Below are 27,311 nucleotides of genomic sequence, written 5' to 3' on the forward strand. Positions count from 1 at the left end.
ACTTCAGGTGCCTGACACCACGCCCGGCTAATTTTTTGTATTTTTAGTGGAGACGGGGTTTCACCATGTTAGTCAGGATGGTCTCGATCTCCTGACCTCGTTATCCGCCCGCCTCGGCTTCCCAAAGTGCTGGGATTACAGGCGTGAGCCACCGCTCCTGGCCCAGGCTCATTACTTTTCTAAAATGAAGAGTGACCCTTCCTAGGGTAGCATTTGAAATAAATGGAGCCAAATGGAGGGAGACTCCGTATCTGAATTTCTCTTTGAGGAAGTTGACTGAGTCAGTCAAAAATTATAACCTGTTTGGAAAAAGACAAATACACATACACACCATGATTTATTTATAGAGTTCGATTATATGTAATAATTCAGTAGGAGAAATTGTGAGCATCCATTTAGAAAGTTTCCAAGTTTATTTTGTAATACTGTACCTTCATTGTTCTAGTTCAATATGCTGTCACCTTTGTGAGCTCAGTTTCTACCGTTGGCCAGTTATATTAAATTTTATTAAGTATGTCATCCTTTCACCAGAACTATAGATTGTATGCAATATAGAAGGATTAAAAATCTAACATTTGTGCTCTCCTTATTAAGCTTAGTCTAAGTGGCATTGCTAATAGCAATAAATGCTTGTTCTCTCTTCTCTCATTGGCGTTGCCATTCTCTTGGCTCCTCTCACCTAACAACCTTGTATTGTTGTCTTAGCTTCTTATTTAAATACGCTATTGTAATTGAACTTTTAAATATATCTATTTCTAATCTCTCCCAATAGATTGTAATGTGAGGAAGGGATCACGCCTATTTATCTTTAGCTAGTTTAGAGAGTCTAACAAAGTTCATTGAGAGTCACTTAAGAGACACTCAAGAAATATTGTTGAATTACTTCTGACAATCATTTTATATTTTAGCACATCATAGTCAAGAACTTCTGTCAATGTTAATTAACTGTTAGTAGAGAAAGTGTGATAGAGGTTGATCATTAAAAAAGGCAAAATTCCCACTTTGGTTAAATGGTTTTTTTTTTTTTTTTTTGGAAGGTCGACACTTTCTTTTATAAAAAGGGTATTTTCCCATTTGAAGCATCATTGGTGAAGTTTTGATCTTTCTTTGGTATTTGCAACATTCACACTGGCACCTTCTAAAGCAGAAACTTTGTCACTCCCCTTTTTTGAAAGAAACTTGACCCTTAGCATGACAGAAAGGGAGCTTGCTAAGACTTGTGGGAAGACAACTGTTTACTCCAGGAAACAATTGTTTAATGTACCTGCTCTGTGTCTTTGGAGAGAAGAATACCCTGAATCTCAAAAATCTAACATGTGGACAGAAATGACTTGGAATTCTTTCGGTAGAGGTGAGGGGTGTGGTTTACTGTTTGAAAAATATTTATTTAAATTCCTGGACAGTGCATTGTCCACTTGCAAATGCATTTATTTGCTGAAAAGGGTATCAATAGCCTTTTAACTCCAAAGTCATTTTTATCCTGGAAGAAATTTAAATTTTATTTCTAAATGAACCCTTGTGACACCTATTCCTCTTGGTTCTGGCAATATATGGTTTTCAGTCTCATGCATTCACTGTGTCCCCTTATTTTAAGTCCTATTAGGGAAATTAGGAAATTACCATCACCAGATGCTCCCTTATAAGTGTGTGTTATAGTGAACATGTGCCTATAGGTGTATAAGAAAGACAATAATTGGCTGGGTGCAGTGGCTCATGCCTGTAATCCCAGCACTTTGGGAGGCCAAGTTGGACAGATCATGAGGTCAGGAGTTCGAGACCAGCCTGACCAACATGGTGAAACCCCGTCTCTACTAAAAATACAAAAATTAGCCGGGTTTGGTGGTGTGCGCCTGTAATCCCAGCTACTCAGGAGGCTGAGGCAGAAGAAATCACTTGAAGTGAGCTGAGATCACGCCACTGCACTCTAGCCTGGGCGACAGAGCTAGACTCTGTCTCAGAAAAAAAAAAAGCAATAATTATTTATATATTAGAAATCTCCACTTGAGTGCAGGAGTTTGAAGCTGCAGTGATGCAAGCTCATGATACTGCATTCCAGCCTGGGTGAAACAGCAAGACCCTATCTTGGAAAAAAAAAATTAAAGGAATAGATTCCTTCTTGGAAATAAACTTAATATGTGAAATTTTGGACTTGAAAATTTGATCAAGTTAGGAAACATTTTTTTTTAACTTTCCCTGAAGATTCAAAGCTGAACAAAAGTTCATATTTGACATGGCAGAACCTATTAGCAAAGTGTGATTATGGCCAATTCTGTTCAGCTTTATGGAGATGTAGAACACACTAGTAGGTATGTGTACTTGTCATCAGGCAATCTCAGGGCATGGGAGAAATACTTGGTCATTACTCTCCAACTGATGGCTGGAGAGTAATTACTTCAGTGAAGGTACACTATCATGCCTAGTGATACCAGGCCTGGCGACCATTTTAACTTAGCACAGTGAGTCATGTTCTCGACAAAGTAAGCATTCAATAAGGTAGGAAAAGCCTCAAAAAATAATTTATCTTAAAGGTCCTCTGCTCATGCAAATGTGACTGATGACATTCTGCCAGGGTCATGTATGTAAAATTCTTAGCATGTCTCTTCACTCATTCAAAAAAAAAAATCTGTTGGAATGCAAGTTCCCTCAAAGTATGGGGTTTTCACACGTTGCCCAGGCCAGTCTCGAATTCCTGGGCTCAAGCAATCCTCCTGCTTCAGCCTCCCAAAATGCTGGGATTACAGATGAGAGCCACCGTGCCCAGCCTTGAAAGTACAGTCTTAATAGGACATCTTTATATCTACTCAAATTTGTAAATATGCTAATGATCGACAAATTACTTGACACAATTGACATTGACTGAACCCACCTACTGTACCTCAGAAATTGAAACCATTGATTTAATGGAACCTTTCATCAAGTGCATTAGTCCACTAGGCACTCCTATTTATTGAGTTTTACATTGATTTTTCTCAGTTCAAAAGAGGGCATATGTTACATTTAGGAATGAAAGTTTGATTTTATAAGCCAATTAAAAAACAGAATTCCCATTAGAAAAATTACCTTGTAGCAAGTTTTGCTAGATTCTAACTGATCTTTAAAGAGGGACATTCAGTACCCTAATCTAAATAGCATTGAAAACTTTCCGTTTCTTTTGGGAGAAATTGAGAATTATTTTCCCGAGTTTATGTGATGAGAGAGAAAATTATTTAATCACAATCACGAGCAACTTAGAAAGACAAAAACACAACTTTTATGCATATATGCATGTATGTGGGGGTAGATGGAGGGGTGTAAATCCAGAGAGGGACTTGATTGTGAGTTTCTTATTTTGCATTTTTATTCTCATTGGCAGACAGATTTATTTTATTTTATTTTTTGATGACAACACTCCATGTGTCTTTATTTTAATGTGATTCCATGAAGAAACTTGCTTATTGATTACGGTCCTATAACTCAGAAATGTTAAGTTATGGTTTTAAATAGGGGTTAATTACCATTGATGTGTGAATACAGGTTCTAAAAGAAATGCATGTCGGAAGAGAAACTGAACTGAATAGTATTAATTTTACTGTTTTCAAAGCTCTCTTCTAGCTATGATAAGGAGACAGAATACATGTGCCATCTCCACCTGGTTATCTAGATGAACATATTAGGTTGGTGCAAAGGTAATTGCAGTTTTTGCTATTGAAGGTAATGACCAAAACTGCAATTACTTTTGCACCAACCTAATACATAATACACATAAAAGATACCTTAGCAGCACATGATAAGGGCTAATGAATGGTACAGATATATTGCAAACTTTATAGTTTGTAGGATTAGCTAATATATTCTTGTTCAGTTTCTGTTTTGAACACTGAAAATTGAGACTTGAATGACTCTTGAAGCCTGTGCACTTTGTCAAGGAAAGATTCATTTCTATTGCATATACAATTCTTGTTAAGATGGGAAGCAGACGCATCATTTGGAAAAAACTTTCTTGAAAGGCTGAAACTAAGAGAGGCTTGTAGAGTATCAGAAAACATAACTTTTCACTGCACATAATTTGGAGTTAACTGCATTTTTAGATATTGATATGCATCAGTTAGTTTTGCATGTACATCATTAAATAATGAAAATTTTCAATGGAAAAAAAAAAGAGAAATTCAACTTGATAAAAGGACCAGTGGACCAAAAGCTCTTCAATATACTTGTGAGGCATTATTAACAATACAATAATAAAGAGTGAAAATCATATAACTTCTGTGAAACCACAATCTTTGTTCTGTCTGAATTCATTTCTGCCAGCTCACAAACATTTGACTTTTGTTGAATTTGGAAAATACGGTTTCTTGTCCTTTGGTCCTAGATTAAGAAGAAACAACAAGATGTGCTTGGTTTCCTAGAAGCCAACAAAATAGGATTTGAAGAAAAAGATATTGCAGCCAATGAAGAGAATCGGAAGTGGATGAGAGAAAATGTACCTGAAAATAGTCGACCAGCCACAGGTTACCCCCTGCCACCTCAGATTTTCAATGAAAGCCAGTATCGCGGGGTAAGAAAACAATTTAAATTCTTGTTTATTGTAATAGATTGCCCCAAATCTATCCATTATTTTCACCTCTGCCTCCAAGCCTGCATATATATAGTCATATCTCTTGCATATAGTCATTTGTCCTTTCCATCCACTCAAAGGCTGGATGTAGACAATGGCTACATTTTCTAAATATGTTTGCTATTGATTATGCATCACAGCCAAATTTAGGAAAGTTTATTTGTTACTTTTTGAGAATGTGTTGTGGCTTATAAGATGACAGTAGGAATCCCAACCAAATTTAGTCATGTGAAGATTCTCTTGCATTCCCCAGGTTGAAACCTCTTAGCAGTTTGGTTGCTCTTCTGGTCATGCATCATGGACATCTCATTGCCTTTCTCAAAACACAGCAAAGATTAACTATTCTTCTGGCCTTGGGCATGTCTAGCTAATATCTAGTCTATTGTAGGCTCTGAGAAAATCTCAACCTAAATGAATAATGGAACAGAAATATGGTGAATGGAAACAACAGTGTCTGACCAGAAATAAACATCTTCTTACTGGGAAATAGGTGGCTGTTTTGCATGGTGGAGGAAGCTGCAGGCAGAGTTAAATTCCATGTGATGTGGAATAAATCATTCTGCAGTTTTTGTGACATAGAATAGCATACTTTTCAACCTATATTAAATAAGATCCAGAAGCCTTGCCTCTTTATTACTCCTTATTCCTTCCAGAATTCTAGTATTATGGAAGTTAGTCTCTCTGTCCCCAAGGAGGTAGATGATTCTGTCGACCAGTCAGGTCATTCTGAATAAATCTCCTTTTTTTCTTGAGATGGAGTTTCCCTCCTGTTGCCCAGGCTGGAGTGCAGTGGGGTGATCTTGGCTCACTGCAACCTCCGCCTCCCAGGCTCAAGCGATTCTCCTGCCGCAACCTTCCAAGTAGCGGGGATTACAGGCATGTGCCCCCACCCCTGGCTAATTTTTGTATTTTTAGTAGAGACAGGGTTTCTCCATGTTGGTCAGGCTGGTCTCAAACTCCCAACCTTAGGTGATCCGCCCACCTCGGCCTCCCAAAGTGTTGGGATTACAGGCGTGAGCCACTGCTTTCGGCTGAATAAATTTCCTTTTTTTCTTTTATTGGTTGCATATTGCTAATTCATCTTATCTTCTTTTCATCAAGGACTATGATGCCTTCTTTGAAGCCAGAGAAAATAATGCAGTGTATGCCTTCTTAGGCTTGACAGCCCCACCTGGTTCAAAGGTATGATACCCTTTTTTTCCTGTTTTATAGGTCATTTTATTGCTGCTGAACTTTTTTAATCAGTAAGATTTTCATTTTTGTTAAGTATTCAAATTAAGTCAGAGACAATCCTTTATAGCAAAAAGTGCCTTCTCTGCATCCACTTAATTCCTATTAGGGCAGAAAGATGTGCATAACCAAATGCATAAACTATGTGTTTAGCAGGTAGGTAGAGTGACTTCCCCATCAAGCTGCCCATGGGAGCAAATTTCTCATTGACCTATGCACAGATAAGTGCTTAGCAATTTTAAAGCCTTCATTATTCCAGCTGTCCTGCATGGTTCTACATCGACAGTAAGCATCTTAGTTCATGGTAATCTCCTTGGCAGCACTTATTGTCTTTGTGTGAGAGCAAATGATAGAGTCATCCATTCAAGTTAATTAAGAGCATCTGCATTGCAAAACTGGTCACTAAATTGCTCGCCAAATTTGAGGCTTTTTTCCTGCCAACACAAATTAATTTTTTAAGTAGCAGCATTTTCAGGAGAGACCAAATAAAGAAAGCAACAATAAAGTTGCCTGTCTAGTGAGATGTCCCCAAACTATCAACTTTAAACATACCTTTGCCTTTTATAGTAGTTCTTCACACAAACTGCCTTAATCAAAATGCGTGTCTCTTGCTCTGTCATTTTATGTTTTGCTCTTAGCAACTAATTGTATGTTAGACAGATTCTTTGAACTCCAATTCCCTCTCCTATTTTAAAAGGCTGTGTTATTGTCTGTTTTCACTAGACAAAAATTTACTAGTACTGTGTTCATGTCATTGTAAAATGGTTTTCTTGCCGAACTTTCTTTTCCCATGGATAAAATCTTATATTTTAGGCTTTGTACAATTTGAGCCATAAGAAAAGTGAGGTAAGGCACTTTTCTTTAAATAAGATAGAGTACTAGATTGCAGCATCTGCAATCCAGACAGAGCAGCATCTGGAGGCTTGCATTGTGCATTTTAGCCCCAAATAGACTGCAAGAACAAACCAGCAATCCTGAGAGGACCCACAGACCCTCTCAAGGAAGTGGACTGCTCATGTAGGACTCAGGAGACACCCCAAATACTGTGAGTGCCCCAACTGAGGAAGTGGAAAAGGGAGACCCTCCTCTCCCGAACAGATACCCTCACTGGAGAAACTGAAGGTCTGTTTGCGGGAGAAGTTTCCAACTTTACCTGGAGCTGAGTCAAGTTAGAGAGCCCAGCGAAATACAGGGGTAAAGGAAGCAACAGGAAGGCCCTGGTATCTCGCTGGGTCCCCAGGCAGCTCATTTCTGCCTGGCACCATAGGGATCCATCGGGAGGGTGGCCAGAGGAGCAGGGGTTAAAACTCCACAGAAAGAAGGAATTCTCTAGCCAAATTTTGTAACAATTCGAAAGGGGAAGAAGCCTCCTGGCCAGAACTCGGGGGAGGGTGCAAATCTCGCTTGCAGACTTCACAGGCAAGGGAAGAACCAAAACCCTTTTCTTTCGCAGCTGGGAGGTGGATAGCCTTGGGTGAATTTTTAAGCCCCTCTTGCCCTCCACCTGGAAACAGACTCAGGGCTGTTGGACGGGGGCTTGGTGGAAGTGAGACCAACCCTTCGGTTTACCTGGGAGCTGAGTGAGGCCTGTGACTGCTGATTTTACAGGACTTCCCTGACAATCTGCCTGACTCAGCAGAGGAAGCCATCCTAGGTATAGAACTCCAGTGACCTGGGAATCTCACCCCCACCCCTCACAGCAGCCACAGCAAGACCCACCCGAGGAGAGTCTGAGCTCAGACATGCCCAGCCCCTCCCCCACCTGATGGTCCTTCCCTTTCCACCCTGGTAGTGGAAGACAAAGAGCATATAATCTTGGAAGTTCTAGGGCCCTGCCTACTGCGGGTCCCTCTCCGCAATACTACAGCTGATGGTTTCTGGAAAGCGCCACCTCCTGGCCAACCAGCATAAAAATAGAGCATTAAACCACCAAAGCTTAGGACCCTCACGGAGTCCATTGCACCCTCCACCTCCTCCACCAGACCAGGCACTGGTATGCATGGCTGAGAGACCCATAGATGGTTCACATCGCAGGACTCTGTGCAGACAACCGCCAGTACCAACCAGGATCTGGGTAGACTCGCTGGGTAGCTAGACCCAGAAGAGAGACAACAATCACTGCAGTTTGGCTCACAGAAGCCACATCCATAGGAAAAGGGGGAGAGTACTACATCAAGGGAGCACCCCATGGGACAAAATAATCTGAACAACAGCCTTCAGCCTTAGACCTTCCCTCTGACAGAGCCTACCCAAGTGAGAAGGAACCAGAAAACCAACAGTGGTAATATGACAAAACAGTTCCCTTCAACATCTGCAAAAAAATCACACTAGCTCACCAGCAATGATCCAAATCAAGAAGAAATCCCTGATTTACCTGAAAAAGAATTCAGGGGGTTAGTTATTAAGCTAATCAGGGAGGGAACAGAGAAAGGCAAAGCCCAATGCAAGGAAATCCAAAAAATGATACGAGAAGTAAAGGGAGAAATATTCAATGAAATAGACAGTGTAAGGAAAAAAACAATAAAAAATTCAGGAAACTTTGGATGCACTTTTAGAAACACGAAATGCTTTGGAAAGTCTCAGCAATAGAATTGAACAAGTAGAAGAAAGAAATTAAGAGCTCAAAGACAAGGTCTTTGAATTAACCCAATCCAACAAAGACAAAGAAAAAAGAATAAGAAAATACGAACAAAGCCTCCAAGAAGTCTGAGATTATGTTAAACGACCAAACCTAAGAATAATTGGAGTTCCTGAGGAAGAAGAGAATTCTAAAATCTTGGAAAACATATTTGGGGGAATAATCAAGGAAAACTTCCCTGGCCTAGCTAGATATATATACATCCAAATACAAGAAGCACAAAGAACACCTGGGAAATCCATTCCAAAAAGATCTTCGCCTTAGGCACACTGTCATCAGGTTATCCAAAGTTAAGACAAAGGAAATAAGAGCTGTGAGACAGAAGCACTAGGTAACCTATAAAGGAAAACCTATCAGATTAACTGCAGATTTCTCAGCAAAAACCCTACAAGCTAGAAGGGATTAAGGCCCTATCTTCAGCCTCCTTAAACAAAATGATTATCAGCCAACAATTTTGTATCCAGTGAAATTAAGCATCATATATGAAGGAAAGATTCAGCTCTTTTCAGACAAACAAATGCTGAGAGAATTCGCCATTATCAAGCCACCACTACAGGAGCTCTAAATCTTGAAAGGAATCCTGGAAACACATCAAAACAGAACCTCTTTAAGGCATAAATCACACAGGACCTATAAAACAAAAATACAAGCTTGAAAGCAAAAGCAAAAAACAACAATGAAAAAATCTAGAGTACACAGGCAACAAAGAGCACAATGAATGCAATGGTACCTCACATTTCCATGCTATCATTGAATGTAAATGGCTTAAATGCTTCACTTGAAAGATACAGAACTGCAGAATGGATAAGAACTCGCCAACCAACTATCTGCTGCCTTCAGGAGACTCACCTAACACATAAGGAGGCACATAAAGTAAAGGGGTGGAAAAAGGTATTTCATGCATATGGACACCAAATGAGAGTGGGGCAACTATTCTTATAACAGACAAAACAAACTTTAAAGCAACAGTGGTAAAAGAGACAAAGAGGGACATTATATAATGGTGAAAGACCTTATCCAACAGGAAAATATCACAATCTTAAACATATATGCACCTAACACTGGAGCTTTCAAATTTATAAAACAATTACTAATAGACCCAAGAAATGAGATAGACAGCAACACAATAATAGTGGGGGAATTCAATATCCCACTGACAGCACTAGACAGGTCATCAACACAGAAAGTCAACAAAGAAACAATGGATTTAAACTCTACCTTGGAGCAAATGAACTTAACAGATATATACAGAACATTTTATCCAACTGCAGAATACACATTCTATTCAACAGCACATGGAACTTTCTCCAACATAGACCATATGATAGGCCATAAAATGAGCCTCAATAAATTTAAGAAAATTGATATTATATCAAGCACTTTCTGAGACCACAGTGGAATAAAACTGGAAATCAACTCCAAAAGGAACCTTCAAAACCATGGAAATACATGGAAAGTAAATAACCTGCTCCTGAATGAGCATTGGGTTAAAAACAAAATCAAGATGGAAATTAAAAAATTCTTTAAACTGAATGACAGTAATGACACAACCTATCAAAACCTCTGGGATACAGCAAAGGTGGTGCTAAGAGGAAAGTTTATGGCCCTAAACGCCTACATCAAAAAGTCTGAAAGAGCACAAACAATCTAAGGTCACACTTCAAAGAACTAAAGAAACAAGAACAAACCAAACCCAAACCCAGAAGAAGAAAGAAATAACCAAGATCAGAACATAACTAAATTAAATTGAAACAAAAAAATACAAAAGATAAAATGAAACAAAAAGCTGGTTCTTTGAAAAGATTAAAATGGATAGACCATTAGCAAGATTAACCAAGAAAAGAATAAAGGAAATCCAAATAACTTCACTAAGAAATGAAACAGGAAATATTATAACTGACACCACTGAAATACATAAGATCATTCAAGGCTAATATGAACACCTCTATGCGCATAAACTAGAAAACCTAGAAGAGAATGGATAAATTCCTGGAAAAATATCACTTTCCTAGCTTAAATCAGAAAGAATCAGATACATTTAAAAGACCAATAACAGGCATCAAGATTGAAATGGTAATTTAAAAATTACCAACCAAAAAGTCCAGGATTAGCCTGATTCACAGCAGAATTCTACTAGACTTTCAAAGAAGAATTAATACCAATCTGTTGGACTCTATTCCACAAGATAATGAAAGAAGGAACCCTCTCTAACTCATTCTATGAAGCCAGCATCACCCTAATACCAAAATCAGGAAAGGACACAACCAAAAAAGAAAACTACACACCAATATCCTTGATGAACATAGATGCTAAAATCCTTAAGAGAATACTAGTTAACTGAATCCAACAAAAAAGCAAAAAGATAATCCACCATGATCAAATGGGTTTCATACCAGGGATGCAGGGATGGTTTAACACACACAAGTCAATAAATGTGATGCACCACATAAACAGAATTAAAAACAAAAGTTACATAATCAGCTCAATAGATGCAGAAAAAGCATTCAACAAAATCCAGCATCACTTTATGATTAAAACTCTCAGCAAAATCAGCATACAAGGGACATACCTTAATGTAATAAAAGCCACCTATGACAAACCCACAGCCAACATAATACAGAATGGGGAAAAGTTGAAAACATTCCCACTGAGAACTAGAGCAAGACATGGATGCCCACTGTCACCACTACTCTTCAACATGGTACTGGAAGTCTTAGCCATTGCAATCAGACAAGAGAAAGAAATAAAGGGCATCCAAATTGGTAAAAAGGAAGTCAATTGGTCACTGTTTGCTGATGATAGGATCATTTATCTTGAAAACCCTAAGGACTCCTCCAGAAAGCTCCCAGAACGATAAAAGAATTCAGCAAAATTTCCAGATCCAAGATTAATATACACAAATCAGTAGCTCTTCTATACACCAACAGTGACCAAGTGGAGAATCAAATCAAGAACTCAACCCCTTTTATGTTAGCTGAAAAAAAAAACCCACTTAGGAATATACCTAACCAAGGAGTAGAAAGACCTCTACAAGGAAAACTGCAAAACACTGCTGAAAGAAATCATAGATAACACAAAAATGGAAACACATCCCATGCTCATGGATGGATACAATCAATATTGTGAAAATGACCAAACTGCCAAAAGCAATCTACAAATTCAATGCAATTCCCATTAAAATACCACTATCCTTCTTCATAGAAAAAAATCCTAAAATTCATATGAAATCAAAAAGTGATTGAGAGGGCCTAAAATGGGACAGCAGTTTTGGAAAGGAAAAGATGGATTTAGGAGCCTCCCCCCACCAAAAAAAAAAAAAGTTACAGGATTTAGGAATTAATGAGTTGCTTGTGCCTGTAAAGACCTGAGCGGGATTAAAGCTAGCCATGGGATCTCTAACCTTGGTGATTGGGAAATGAAGAAAAGATCATGGAGGAAATAGAAAAGTCAGTGATCCAGGGAAGAAGTTAGCCTTGGAAATAGCATGTGGTGTTCTGAGAGTGGATGAAATTAGGAGAAAGGAATAAAAATAAAGAGAAATTTTAATGTGTGGGAAGGTTAGGGAAAGTCAGATTTGAAAGTATAAGGCAGGAGGAAAACTTATCCGCAAGGAGTGAGGGGAAATTTGAAACATTAGATCCCTGAGGAGAATTGAACAGATTCAGTTGAAAATTGGCTAGGGAATAGGCTAAGATCATAAATAAATAAATAAATAAACAGACAAATAAATAAAAAACAGCTAAGCAGGGCCCAGCAGTAGTTAGAACTGATGGGCCCATAGGAAGCTAGACATCTTGGTTACCATGTTTCTTCCATCATTGCTTAAGCTCAGGAGTAGGAATAGAGTAAATGAATAGTGAATGTTATGAAGGATGGGCAAGAAGGACCTGATAGACTGGGTTAACAAGAATAGGTGTGGTATTGACAATGAACATGAAGAGTGGATTGGTGATAGGGAGATTTTGAATTTTGGTATTTAATAGGTTTTTCCAAGACTAGAAGTGATCCATTTCATGTCAGAATGATATTTTTATACTTCAGCTCAATTTCTAGAGTTTTCCCCTTTAACAGGATAATAAGCCTTCAACAAAGAACCAGATGAACAGAAAGTATACTAAATAAGAAAGACAACTGGTTAACCCACATTGAAAAAGTGAATTGATAATAAAAGTTATATGATAAAATGAGATAAAATGTTTAGCTGTAAATTCAGCAAAACTAAAACAAAATGATAATAGTGCTGAGAAGGGTGGATTGAAACAGTTGCTATAATACGTTACTGATGTTGGCATAAATTGGTACCCCTTTTTGAAAACCAAAATGGCAAATACGTGTCAAGGATCTCAAAAATATTGGTACTCCTTCACCCAGTGGTTTCACATTGGGTATTATAATCAAGTGAAATAATCCTATACGTGGAAAAAGCTTCATAGATAAAAATGTGAATAGAAGTGTTAATTATAATCTTAAAACTTTGAAAACAAGTTAAATGCTTAACATATTTAACAAGAGGTTCAACTAAATTCATGCATTGAATGGACTTTATGGATAAAATATGAATCAAAGTATTATACTGTGTCTAATTCTGAACTTTAGAAACTAGTTAAGTATCTAACGATAGCGTCAACAAAAATAGTTTATCTACTGAATGAACTTGGACTGTCATGAAGAAAATGAAAATTTGTGAAAACATATATGTAAATGAGCTACAGAATTATTTTGAAAGTAAGGTTAATATTCTAATTACATTTAAAATGTATGGATAGGACAAAAAAAGAAACTGAAAGGTAGTTAATATGCATTTTCTCCTATTCTCTACTTTTAAATAATTATCAAACATACTCTTTACATTTAAAAAATAATTGAAACCAATGCACTGGAGAGCTTGATATTGAAAAGTACTCTGTGTCAAATATTTCCATAAGGCAAAGAATCCTTCTGTGTAAGACAAATAATTGTTGTATTCTTTTTTATATTGGATTGTTTAAAACAAGGTATGTATTTGTCTACTGTGATTCACTCAATTTTGTCAATATGAAATATTTCTTAGTACTGGCATTTCTTACTTTAAAGTGGAGATGATGGTTTTGAGATATGAAATAAGATCACTGATATTTTTACCACAAAATAAATATTTGGTGATGCTTGTGCAGAAAGGAAAACGACTCTATTGGCAAAGGCATGTTCACTTATGTTGAAAGAATAGAGGGTATGGGTCAGAGAAATGTCCTCGTTAGCTTTAGTTGAATTAAACTGCTCCAGGGAGGAGCTCCGGAGTCCATCTCTGCTGTGAGATTTGAAGCAATCCTATTTATACTGAATTCATCCTATTTTTACTACATCTCCAAGAGAGACTGCATGTTCATAAACTTAGCTGTGGTATTGATTTTAGCTACTAGGCAAAAAAAAAAAAAAAAAAAAAAAAAAGAGAGGGGAAAAGCAGGAAAGAAGGATGGATGCCTATAATGGGCCAAACACTGAGATAGGCACCTCAGGTACATCTCATTTTATCTTTCCACCATCCCTTTAGGATAGATATAATTAGAAGCACTTTAGAGAGGATAATTTAAGTAATTTATCAAAGGGTATATAATGATTTAGTAGTGAAGCTGAAATTTTAGCCCAGGATTATCTGATTTAAAACCAGTGCCTTTATGGAATGATGTTTACATTGGGAATACGGAGGAAGAGAACATTATATGCTTGCTCTTAAAGCTCTCTGTTTGATTGGATGACTCATTCTACAAATACTGACAATTTGCTTGTAGGCACTAATAAGGAGTTCAGATAAATTCACATATTTGATATATAAAATAAGATTAGAAAGGTAAATAATTTACTGTAACTTTGATGTGTTCTAAAGACAAATTATAAAGAATTTTGAGATGAATTTTGTTCTGGATTTCTATGCCAGTGATTTCTCCCATTAAAAATGATAACTTAGAGCTGCAGAATTTATGACAAATTATAGGAAAGATTGATAGTGTGTCACTTTAGGGAAATAAACTTCTTTCCCTATATGTGTAACTAGTATTAATCCAAAATACTAGTTACAAATCGAAATGAAGAAAACAATACAAAATGAAAGAAAACGTTGGTATTTTGAAAAGTTAAACAAAATTGACAAACTTTTAGCCAGACTAAGAAAAAAGTGGAGAAGATTTAAATAAAAATCATAGATGAAAATGAGACATTACAACTTATACTGCAGGAATTCAAAGGATTATTAGTGGCTGCTACAAGCAATTATATGCCAATAAATTGGAAATTCTAGAAGAAATAGACAAATTTCTAGACACGTACAATCAACCAAGATTGAACCATGAAGAAATCCAAAACCTGAACAGACCAATTACAAGTAAAAAGATCAAAGCCATAACAAAATGTTTATCAGTAAATAAAAGCCTGAAACCCAATGGCTTCACTGCTGAATTTTACCAAACATTTAAAGAAATGCTAATACCAAACACTGCATGTTCTCATTCCTAAGTGGGAGTTGAACAATGAGAACACATAGACACAGGGAGGGTAACATCACACACCGGGACCTGTCTGTGGGTGGGGGAGTAGGGGAGGGACAAGATTAGGAGAAATACTTAATATAGGTGACGGGTTGACGGGTGCAGCAGACCACCAGGGCATGTGTATACCTATGTAACAAAACTGCATGTTCTGCACATGCAACCCAGAACTTAAAGTATAATAATAAAAAAGAAATGGCAATACCAATTTTACTCAAACTATTCTGATAAATAGAGGAGGAACGAATAGTTCCAAAATCATTCTACAAGGCCAATATTACCCTGGTGCCAAAATCACACTAGAATACATAAAAAAGAAAAAGAAAGAAGGAAGGAAGGAAAGAAAGAAAGAAAGAAAGAAAGAGAAAGAAAGAAACTACAGGACAATATCTCTGATGAATACTGATACAAAATTTTTCAAAAATATATTAGCAAACAGAATTCAACACTATATTAGAAAGATCATTCATCCTGACCAAGTGAGAATTTTTTCTGGAATGCAATGATCATTCAATATATGCAAATCAACCAATGTGACACATTATATCAACAGAATGAAGGATAACAACCATCTGATCATTTCAATTGATGCTGAAAAAGCATTTGATATAATTCAACGTCTTTTAAGATAAAAGCCATCAAAAAGACTTAGTATAGAAGGAACATACTTCAACACAATAAAAGCCATATATGACTGAACCACAGCTAGTATCATACTGAATGAGGAAAAACTGAATGCCTTTCCTATAAGATATGGAGCACTACATTGATGCCACTTTCACCACTGTTATTTAACATAGTACTGGGAGTCTTAGCTAGAGCAACCAGCCAAGAAAAATACCTAAAGTTATCCAAACTCAAAATGAAGAAGTCAAATTATCCCTGTTTGCAAATGATATAATGTTGAATTCAAAGAGTTTTAAAGACTTCACCAAAAAACCATTAGGACTGATAAACAAACTCAGTAAAGTTGCAGGATGCAAAATCAACATACAAAGTCAGTAGCATTTCTATATGTCAACAGCAAATAATATGAAAAATAATATAAGAAGTAATTCCATTTACAATAGCCACAAATAAAATTAAATACCTAGGAATTAACTTAACCAAAGATCTTAAAGTTTTCTACAATGAAAATGTAAAGCATTGATGAAAGAAATTGAAGATGACATAAAAAATTGAAAAAATATTCCATGATCATGGATTGAAATAATCAATACATTAAAATGTTCATACTGTCCAAAACAATCTACAGATTCAATTAATATAAAAATATCAATGACATTCTTCACAGAAATAAAAAAAAATCTAAAATTCATGGGTAACCACAAAAGACCCAGAATAGCCATAGCTATCCTAAGTGTAAAGAACAAAACTAGAGGAATCACATTACCTGACTTCCAATTATAATACAGAGCTATACTAATCAAAACAGCAAGGTATTGGCATAAAAACAAACACATACACCAAGGTGACAGAATAGAGAACCCAGAAACAAATCCTCACATCTACGGTGAACTCATTTTTGACAAAGGTGCCAAGAACATACACTGGGGAAAAGAGAGTCACTTCAATAGATGGTGCTGGGAAAACTGGACATCCATATGCAGAAGAATGAAACTTGACCCCTATCTCTTGCCATATACAAAAACCATTTCACAATGAAGACTTAAATCTAATACCTCAAACTATGAAATGACTACAAGAAAACACTGTAGAAACTCTCCAGGACATTGATCTGGGCAAAAATTTGTTGAGAAATATCCCAAAAGCACAGGCAACGAAAGTAATCATGGACAAATGGGATCACATCAAGTTAAAAAGTTTCTTCACAACAAAGGAAACAATAAACAAAGTGAAGAGACAACCCAAAGAATGGGAGAAAATATTTGCAAACTACCCATCTGACAGGGGATCGGTAACGAGCATATATGAGAGGCTCAAACCACTCTATAGGGGCCATGCATGGTGGCTTAGACCTTTAATCCCAGCACTTTGGGAGACTAAGACGGGCAGATCACTTGAGGCTAGGAGTTTGAGACCTGCCTGACCAACAAGGTGAAACCCCGTCTCTACTAAAAATACAAAAATTAGCCGGGAGTAGTGGCACAAATCTGTAAGACATGCTTCTCAGGAAGCTGAGACACGAAAATCACTTCAACCCAAAAGGTGGAGGTTGCAGTGAGCCAAGATTGTACCACTGCACTTCAGCCTGGTTGACAGAGTGAGACTGCCTCAAACAAACAAAAAACAACTCTATAGGAAAAATTCTAATAATCCAATTAAAACGTAGGCAAAAGATTTGAATAATCCTTTGTCAAAAGAAGACATATGAGTTGCAAACAGATGTGAAAGTGTGCTAAACATCACTGATCATTAGAGAAATGCAAATAAAAACTACAATGAGATATAATCTCACCTCAGTTAATATGGCTTTTATCCAAAGGTCAGGCAATAATACATGCTGGTAAGGATGAGGAGAAAAGGGATCATTCATACACTGTTGGTGGGAATGTAAATTAATACAGCCACTATACAGAACAGTTTGGAGGTTCCTCAAAAACCTAAAAGTAGAACTACCATATGATTCAGCAATCCTGCTGCTGGGTATATACACTAAAAAAAGCAAATCAGTATATCAAAGAGATATCTGCAATCTCATGTTTGTTGCCACACTGTACACAATAGCCAAGATTTGGAAGTAACCTAAGTGTCCATGAACAGATGAGTGGGTTAAGAAAATGTGGTATTTATACATAATAGAGTAGTATTCAGCCATGAAAAAGAATGAGATCCAGTCATTTGCAACAAAATGGAGGGAACTGGAGATTACCATTTTAAGTGATATAAGCCAAGAACAGAGAGACGATCACCACGTTCTCACTTATTTGTGGGATCTAAAAATCAAGCAATTGAACTCATGGAGATAGAGAATAGAAAGATGGTTACCAGAGGTTGAGAAAGGTAGTGGGTGATTGAGAAGTGGGTTTGGTTAATGGCACAAAAAACAGAAACAATGAGTAAGATCTAGTATTTGATACCAAAACATGAAGACTACGGTCAAAAATAAATTAATTGTATACTTTAAGATAACTAATAATATAATAATTATGTTGTTTATAATACAAACAATACATATTGGAGTTATGGATACCCCGTTTACCCAGATGTGATTATTATCCATTGCATGCCTGTATCAAAACATGTCATATACCCCATAAATATATATACCTACTATGTACATACAAAAATTCAAAATAAAAAAAAGAACAAAATACTGGCTATGGAGCAATGTTAGGTCCTTAGAGGAAAAAGGATTTCATGTTAGGTCATTTTTGCATTATTATACAACTGCTTCTCCAACTATGTATGCTATGTTTTTGAGGGGTCTTAGTATAAATTATTTTTTGAGTTATGTGTAGAAATTCTTGAAAGCTTGTTCTATAAAATGAAGCAAGATGCATACTGTGACTTTAACATATTCATTTTGACATCTAAACACTGTTAAAGCTTCAAAAGAACTTAGGGACTTTTCCTTTTTTGACTAGGCATTTGCAAAGGTGAGTCTATTAGTTCATTCTCACACTGCTATAAACAACTACCCAAGACTGGGTAATTTATAAAGAAAAGAAGTTTAATTTACTTACAGTTCCACAGGCTATAAAGCAGACATGGCTTGGGAGGCCTCGGGAAACTTACAATCATGGTGGAAGGCAAAGGGGAAGCAAGCACATCTACACTTGTTGGCAGGAGGCGTTGAGTTAGGTGCTACACACTTTTAGACAAGCAGAAATAAGGGGATGGTGCTAAACCATTAGAAACCACCCCCCATGATCCAATCAGCTCTCACCAGGCCCCTCCTCCAACAATGAGAATTACAATTTGACATGAGATTTGGGTGGGGATGCAGAGCTGAACCATATCATTATGCCTCTGGCCCCTCCCAAATCTCATGTCCTTTTCACATTGCAAAATACTGTCATCTCTTCTCAACAGTCTTCCAAAGTCTTAACTCCTTTCAGCATTAACTAAAAAGTCCAAGTCCAAAGTCTCATTTGAGATGAGGCAAGTCCATTTTTCCTATAAGCCTGTAAAATAAAAAGAAGTTAGTTACTTCCAAGATACAGTAGGAGTACAGGCATTAGGTAAGTGCTCCTATTACAAAAGGGGGAAATTGGCCAAAACTGACAAAATTGCTCTATGTAAGACTGAAACCAAGTAGGACAATTATTACATCTTAAAGTTTCAAAATAATCTTCTTTGACTGCATGTCTCACATCCAGGGCACACTCATGCAAGGGATGTGATACCAGGGCCTTGGGCAACTCTGATCCTGCAGCTCTGCAGGGTACAGCCTTGGCAACTGCACTCATGGGCTGGTGATGAGTGCCTGTGGCTTTACCAGGTCCACGGTGCAAGCTGTGAGTGGATCTACCATTCTTCCTGGAGGCAGTGGCCCCTTTCTCACAGCTACACTAGGCAGTACCCCAGTGTAGCCTCTGTGTGGGGGCTCCAACCCCACATTTTCTCTCAGCACTGCCCCAGTAGAGGTTCTGCATGAGGGCTCCATGCTTGCAGCAGACTTCTGCCTGGACATCCAGGTATTTTCATACATCCTCTGAAATCTAGGCCGTGACTCCCAAGCTTCAACTCTTGCCTGCTGTACCCCCACAGCCTTAACATCATGTGGAAGTACCCAAGGCTTGTAGCTTCCATCATCTGGAGCAGTGGCCTGACACATATCTGGGGCCCTTTTAGCCATGGTTGTAGCTGGAGTGGCTGGAACATGAGTTGCCATATCCTGAGGCTGCACAGAGCAGTGGAGCTCTGTGCCTGGCCCACAAAACCATTTTACTATTCCAGGCCTCTGGGCTTTTGATGGCAGGGGCTGCCATAAAGGCCTCTGAAATGCCCTGGAGGCATTTTCTTTATTGTCTTGGCTATTAACATTCAGCTCCCTTTACTTATGCAAATTTCTGCAGTCAGCTTGAATTTCTTCCCTGAAAATGGGTTTTTATTTTCTACCATACGGTTAGGTTTCAAATTTTCCAAACTTTTATTATCTGCTTCCCTTTTCAATGTAAGATGCAATTTCAGACCATTTCTTTGTGAATGTATATGAGCTATGCTGTTAGAAGCAGCCAGGCTACATCTTGAACCCTTTGCTCCTTAGAAATTTCTTCCACCAGAGACCCTAAATCAGGGATGTCCAATCATTTGGCTTCCCTGGACCACAATGGAAAAAGAACAATTGTCTTGGGCCACACATAAAATACAATGACACTAGTGATAGCTGATGAACTAAAAAATATTGCAAAAAAAAAATCTCATAATGTTTTAAGAAAGTTTATGACTTTGTGTTGGATCATTGATATGGTTTGGCTCTGTGTCTGCATCCAAATCTCATCTTGAATTGTACTCCCACAATTCCCACGTGTTGTGGGAGAGACTCAGTGGGAGATAATTTGAATCATGGGGGCAGTTTCCCCCATACTGTTCTAGTGGTAGTGAATAAGTCTTGTGATCTGATAGTTTTATCAGAGGTTTCTGCTTTTGCATCTTTCTCATTTTCTCTTGCTGCCACTGTGTAAGAAGTGCCTTTCTCCTCCCCCATGATTTTGAGGCCTCCTCAGCCATGTGGAACTGTAAGTCTAATTAAACATTTTTTTTTTCTTCCCAGCCTCGGGTATGCCTTTGTCAGCAGGGTGAAAATGGACTAATATGGTAAATTGGTACCAGCACAGTGGAGTGTTGCTGAAAAGATACTTAAAAATGTGGATGTGGCCAGGTGCGCTGGCTCATGCCTGTAATCCCAGCACTTTGGGAGGTCGAGGCAGGTGGATCACTTGAGATCAGGAGTTTGAGACCAGCCTGGCCAACATGCTGAAACCCTGTCTCTACTAAAAATACAAAAAGTAGCTGGGCATGGTGGCATGTGCCTGTAGTCCCAGCTACTTGGGAGGCTGAGGCAGGAGGATCACTTGAATCAGGGAGGTGGAGGTTGCAGTGAGCTGAGATTGCACCACGGCACAACAGCCTGGGTGATAGAGTGAGATTCCATCTCAAAAAAAATGTGGAAGTGACTTTTTAACTGGGTAACAGGCAGAGGTTGGAACAGTTTGGAGGGCTCAGAAGAAGACAGGAAAATGTGGGAAAGTTTGGAACTTCCTAGAGACTTATTGAATGACTTTGACCAAAAGCTTGATGGTGATATGGACAATAAGGTCCAGGCTGAGGTGGTCTCAGATAGAGATGAAGAACTTGTTGGGAACTGGAGCAAGGTGATTCTTGATATGTTTTAGCAAAGAGACTGGTGGCATTTTGCCCCTGCCCTAGGGATTTATAGAACTTTGAACTTGAGAAAGGTGGTTTAGGGTATCTGGTAGAAGAAATTTTGAAGCAGTAAAGCATTCAAGAGGTGACTTGGGTGTGGTTAAAGGCATTCACTTTCATAAGGAAAGCAGAGCATAAAAGTTTGGAAAATTTGCAGCCTGACAATGTAATAGAAAAGAAAAGCCCATTTTCTGAGAAGAAATGCAAGCCGGATGCAGAAATTTGCATAAGTAATGAGGAGCCAATTATTAATCCCCAAGAAAATGGGGAAAAAGTCTCCAGGGCATGTCAGAGGTCTTCACGGCAGCCCCTTCCATCACAGGCTCAGAGGCCTAGGAGGAAAAAATGGTTTTGTGGTTCAGACCCAGTGTCTGCATACTGTGTGCAGTGTAGGGACTTTGTACCCTGTGTCCCAGCCACTCCAGCCATGACTAAAAGGGGCCAAAGTACAGCTTGTGCCATGGCTGTGGTGGGCACAAGCCCCAAGCCCTGGCAACTTCCATGTGGTGTTGAGCCTGTGGGTGCACAGAAGTCAAAAATTGAGGTTTGGGAATCTCTGCCTAGATTTCAGAGGATGTATGGAAATGCCTCGATATCCAAGCAGAAGTTTGCTGCAGAGGTGGGGCTCTCATGGAGAACCTCTGCTAGGGCAGTGCAGAAGGGAAATGTGGAGTTGGAGCCCCCACACAGAGTCCCTACCGGGGCACCGCCTAGTAGAGCTGTGAGAAGAGGGCCACTGTCCTTCAGACCCCAGAATGGTAGATCCACTGACAGCTTGCACCATGTGCCTGGCAAAGCTGCAGACACTCAACACCAGTCTGTGAAAAGGTCTGGGAGGGAGGCTGTACCCTGCAGAGCCACAGGGGCAGAGCTGCCCAAGACCATGGGAACCTACCTTTTGCATCACTGTGACCTGGATGTGAGACATGGAGTCAAAGGAGATCATTTTGGAGCTTTAAGATTTGACTGCCCTGCTGGATTTTGAACTTTCACTGGGCCTGTAGCCCCTTTGTTTTGGCCAATTTCTCCCATTTGGAACATCTGTATTTACCCAATGCCTGTACCATCGTTGTATCTAGGAAGTAATGAACTTGCTTCTGATTTTACAGGCTCATAGGCGGAAGGGACTTTACTTGTTTCAGATGAGACTTCAGACTGTGGATTTTTGGTTTAATGCTGAAATGAGTTAAGACTTTGTGGGACTTTTGGGAAGGCATGACTAGTTTTGAAATGTGAGGACATGAGATTTGGAGAGGTCAGGGGTAGAATGATATGGTTTGTCACTTTGTTCTCACCCAAATCTCATCTTGAGTTTTATTTCTATAATTTTCACCTGTTTTGAGAGGGACTCGTTGGGAGATAATTTGAATCATGAAGGCAGTTTCCTCCATACTGCTTTTGTGGTAGTGAATAAATCTCACCAGATCTGTTGGTTTTATCCGGCGTTTTCACTTTTGCATCTTCCTCATTTTCTCTTGCTGCCTCCTCTTAAGAAGTGTCTTTCACCTTCCGCCATGATTCTGAGGTCTCCCCAGCCATGTGGGACTGTAAGTCCAATTAAACCTCTTTTTCTCCCTCGTCTTGGGTATGTCTTTATGAGCAGCATGAAAACAGACTAATACAGCCACATTCAAAGCTGTCCTGGGCAGCATGCAGCCCACAGACCACAGGTTTGACAAGCTTGCCCTAAACCATCTCTCTCAAGTGCAAATTTCAACAGATCCCTTGAGCTGGGGCACAGTGTCACCAGTCTCTTTGCTGAAGCACAGTAGTTGTGACCATTACTCCAGTTTCAAATAAGTTCTTCATCTTCATCAGAGACCACCTCAGTATGGACCTTATTGTCCATGTCACTATCAGCATTTCGGTCATAACAATTTAACAAGTCTCTAGGAAGCTCCAAACTTTCCATCATCTTTCTGCCTTCTTCTGAGCCCTCCAAATTGTACCAACCTTTCCTCCAAAGTTGGTTCCACATTTTCAGGTATCTTTATAGTAATACCCCACCCCTGGTACCAATTTTATGTATTAGTTCATTCTTACACTGCTATAAAGAACTTTTTGAGATTGGACAATATATAAAGAAGAAAGAGGTTTAATTGACCCACACCTCCAAAGACTGTACAGGAGCCATGGCTGAGGAGGCCTCAGGAAACTTACAATCATGGCAAAGGGTGAAGGGGAAGGAAGCACGTCCTCGCCTGGTGGCAGGAGAGAGAGGGAGAGGTGCTACACACTTTTAGACAAGCAGCAGTAGGAGGATGGTGCTAAGCCATTAGAAACTGCCCTCATGATCAAATATCCTCCCAGCAGGCTGCTCCTCCAACACTGGGAATTGCAATTTGACATGGGATTTCGGTGGGGACACAGAGCCAAACCATATCAATGAGTCAGTAGTATATTTCGTTATTTTTTTAAAGGATATGAAGAATGAATTTTGGTGTCATTTAATATTTTCTTCTTTCCTCTACTTTTGCCTTTTTTGGGTAAAAATCTAGTGTCTCTTTTAGCTTTTCTCCCTTCTTTTGCATGTAATACTGGGACTCATTTGGACAGTATCAGTCCTCCTGAGACTGTCAAGTATTGATTTAGTGACAGGTGTTTAGAATGATGTTGTCTACCACGCTTGATTTCTACAACTTAAGTCTGATGTTTCCTTTTCTGGAGTCAATCTTGCCACTCATCTTTAGTTCAACAAACTTTCCTTGAAGTTTATTTTGTGTCAAGTAGGTCAGAGTTCCTATGCTAGAGGTGAGTACCTCACTATCCAGAGGAGAAGGAAGACAACCTGATTTTTTGGTGTGTATTCTATCATAAAACATGAAAACTACAATATTTTAATGGATAGCACATTTTCTAAGTAATTTAAACCTTAATTAACCAAAACCCAACTAATTTTAAACTTAAGTAACCATGTTTTTATATTCTCAATTTTCATGAAAAAAAATCACACAAAAAGGAAACTGACTATTTTTAAGTAAAATATCAATTATAATTGTATATCACTTGCTTTCATGAAAGTATTCCAAATCATTAGGAATGATTAGGTAGTCTTTTTGTGTATCTGTTTCTAGAAATCTGTTTGTATTATATAGTTTTTCTATTAAGAACTTTTTAAGAAATCTCTTCTGGGGGCTTTTGTTTATTCTTAGTAGTTGGAACTAATGTAGTCTGACTAAAATACACATGGGTGTCTGCTCTGTGATGTTTAAACTTATCTGTTTTGTTTGTTTTTCATTTCAGGAAGCAGAAGTGCAAGCAAAGCAGCAAGCATGAACCTTAAGCACTGTGCTTTAAGCATCCTGAAAAATGAGTCTCCATTGCTTTTATAAAATAGCAGAATTAGCTTTGCTTCAAAAGAAATAGGCTTAATGTTGAAATAATAGATTAGTTGGGTTTTCACATGCAAACATTCAAAATGAATACAAAATTAAAATTTGAACATTATGGTGATTATGGTGAGGAGAATGGGATATTAACATAAAATTATATTAATAAGTAGATATCGTAGAAATAGTGTTGTTACCTGCCAAGCCATCCTGTATACACCAATGATTTTACAAAGAAAACACCCTTCCCTCCTTCTGCCATTACTATGGCAACTTAAGTGTATCTGCAGCTCTACATTAAAAAGGAGAAAGAGAAATAACCTGTCTCTCATTCCTAAGTTGCCTCATTAATTTTCATGAACAAGAATATGTACCTTTTTGATGCTATATTACTGCGATTAAAAAGTTCTTGCAGGTAATGTTTATGATATGTTAAACGTTGTAATTTCCTATCGTAATTATAACATTCCCATTCTTTTGTAGATGAAACTTCTACATATTGAACCACAGATTTTCTGAGCTTCTAAATGTAGCCTTTCATTGCACATTTCAGTGATCAGAATAGATATCCTTTTACACGCACAAAAGCAATAGATTCATTCAGTGGACAAGTTCCTTGTTTAACTACACAGCTATGATGGAATGATATATCCAAGTTCCTTGCCTCAGTGAAATATGCATATGTATATCATGAAAGTGGGATGCCAAGTAAGCTTAAAATGGCATTCTCTAGCAAAGAGATTAGACTTTTAAATAACTCTTATAAAACAGGTTGGCGATCATTTCCCAAGATTGGTTTCCCTTGAGTTTTTGCTAAAACAAATCTTAGTAGTTTTGCCCGTTTAAAACAACTCACAATCGTAAATGCTACTATTCCTAAGATATCTTACCTTTTTATTTCAGTTTAGCCATGTATTGTATGAGTGTATTAGTCTAAGCAGTGAGAATCTTTTCTATGCCTCTATTCCAGCAAAAAGTAGAAGTATCAAATAAAAAGGGCAACTTTTAAAATATTAAGCCTGAAGACTTCTAAAAAGACAAGAAACATGGCCTAAATAACCAACATAGATTTACATAGTAAGTTTCACACTACCTTATTACCAAAAGCAAACACCTCTTACTTTAAACTACATTATCATGTATATCTATTGTATGCTGGTCTTTACTTTTTGCCAAAATCAACATATAATGAAGAGATGCCTTTGTTTCATGAGATTCAAACTTGATGCTATGCTTTAAAATAAACTCAGTACTTTTAGAAACATAACTTATGTGTTCTTGGAGTTTATATAATAGTAATTTTAGATGAGTAATATCTTTTTTTAGAGGGTTGGGAATGCAAAAAGAGAAAATAGTAGAAAGAAAAAGCTTTGAATGCAATTCAAGGTTTTCGTTTTCTATGTTTTCTTTTTAGGGCTTTTAATCTCACAATACACATGAGGTCAAATGAACAATTTTATTGGGTTTACAAAAATACGGCATAAAGAACTCTAGAGAAAACAGGGTGCTTTGTAATACACTGGAAACGCAAAAAAAGTTTTTTAGTCAATATTTTCTCCTAAGCTTTATTAAATGTTGCTGATGATACTTGCAATATTTTATGTGGTCATTTTCACTTTTATTTTAATGTCAAATAAGTTAACACTGCCAAAATGGGCATTCTTTAAAAATAGATGTATTTTTTGCCATGTTTATATAACTTAAAATTAACATAGTATATTAAAGTAAAAGGTTGAATTGAGTCTTCCTAAACTGAAATATTTTATTTTGTCAGCTGAGAAATATGTTTTGTAGATACAAAAATGCAAGTGAAATTCTGAATATGAAGGTGAGTTTTATTTAAAAAAATCTCCAAAATATTTGGCCGGAAAATATAATCTTTGCCACTTGTTATATTACATTCAGATTGTTTCTGTTTGTAAATCAGACTTGTTTATTTGTTATGTTCAGTTATTGAGCTGGTTTGTTCTTGGGAATATTTGACTCTCAGGAAGATTTTCATTTTCACCAAACAATGCAAATTGGACGTCGATTGCATTGTTAAATGTCAACATTTCTTTGGGAGTCTGAGTGTAGGGGTAAACAGAATTTTAAAACAGAAGTTGTTAATTACTTGCTTGGGAAAGTTTAAATACAGAAAATGTTGGTGAAGTCAGATTTCATTGCACATATTCCATTCATTCAGCAAAAGGAAAAATGAGGATTCACATGGATTTTATTACCCAGTTGTGGATGCTGAAAAATATTGAAAGGTTGACATTGGTCTAATCTTTTTAATGTAAAATACATATTTCTTTTCTTTTGAAGAATTCCAACAAAACTGATTAAGAAACATGCACATTTGATTAATTTGAACCTTCTAGTCTTCTGCTTCCACCCATCATTCTTCCCCTGTATCTATTATCACCTTCCTTTATTTAGCAAACAAAATTTTGAAATCCTTTGTAAAGAGTACTATAATGTTACCATAATTCCTATTTTCACACAATTGTCTTTTTAACATCTTTACTGAGATATACAATTCACATACTGTAAACTTTGCTCATTTAAAGTGTATAAGGCAGTGACTTTTACTATATTCACAGAATCATGCAACCATCACTAAGATTTAAGTTTAGAATGTTTCATCACCCAACAAATAAACTCTACCCAATAGCAGTCACTCC

General features: G+C 37.6%; 1 protein-coding gene across 4 annotated transcripts in view; it reads left to right on the forward strand.

The window, feature by feature from the left end:
* SH3BGRL (SH3 domain binding glutamate rich protein like) overlaps window positions 1-25,912 on the forward strand; it is a 96,446-nt gene extending 70,534 nt beyond the window's left edge. For all 4 annotated transcript variants that reach the window (XM_011531014.2, NM_003022.3, XM_047442354.1 and 1 more), the window contains 3 exons: window positions 4,349-4,534; window positions 5,696-5,776; window positions 24,560-25,912. In XM_011531014.2, the coding sequence (XP_011529316.1) occupies window positions 4,349-4,534; window positions 5,696-5,776; window positions 24,560-24,592 (300 nt within the window). In that variant the 3' untranslated portion in view covers window positions 24,593-25,912. The remainder of the gene's footprint in view (window positions 1-4,348; window positions 4,535-5,695; window positions 5,777-24,559) is intronic.
* The last annotated feature ends 1,399 nt before the right edge of the window (window positions 25,913-27,311 follow it).

The sequence above is a fragment of the Homo sapiens genome, chromosome X (assembly GCF_000001405.40).
Source record: "Homo sapiens chromosome X, GRCh38.p14 Primary Assembly".
Classification (NCBI taxonomy): Eukaryota; Metazoa; Chordata; class Mammalia; order Primates; family Hominidae; genus Homo; species Homo sapiens.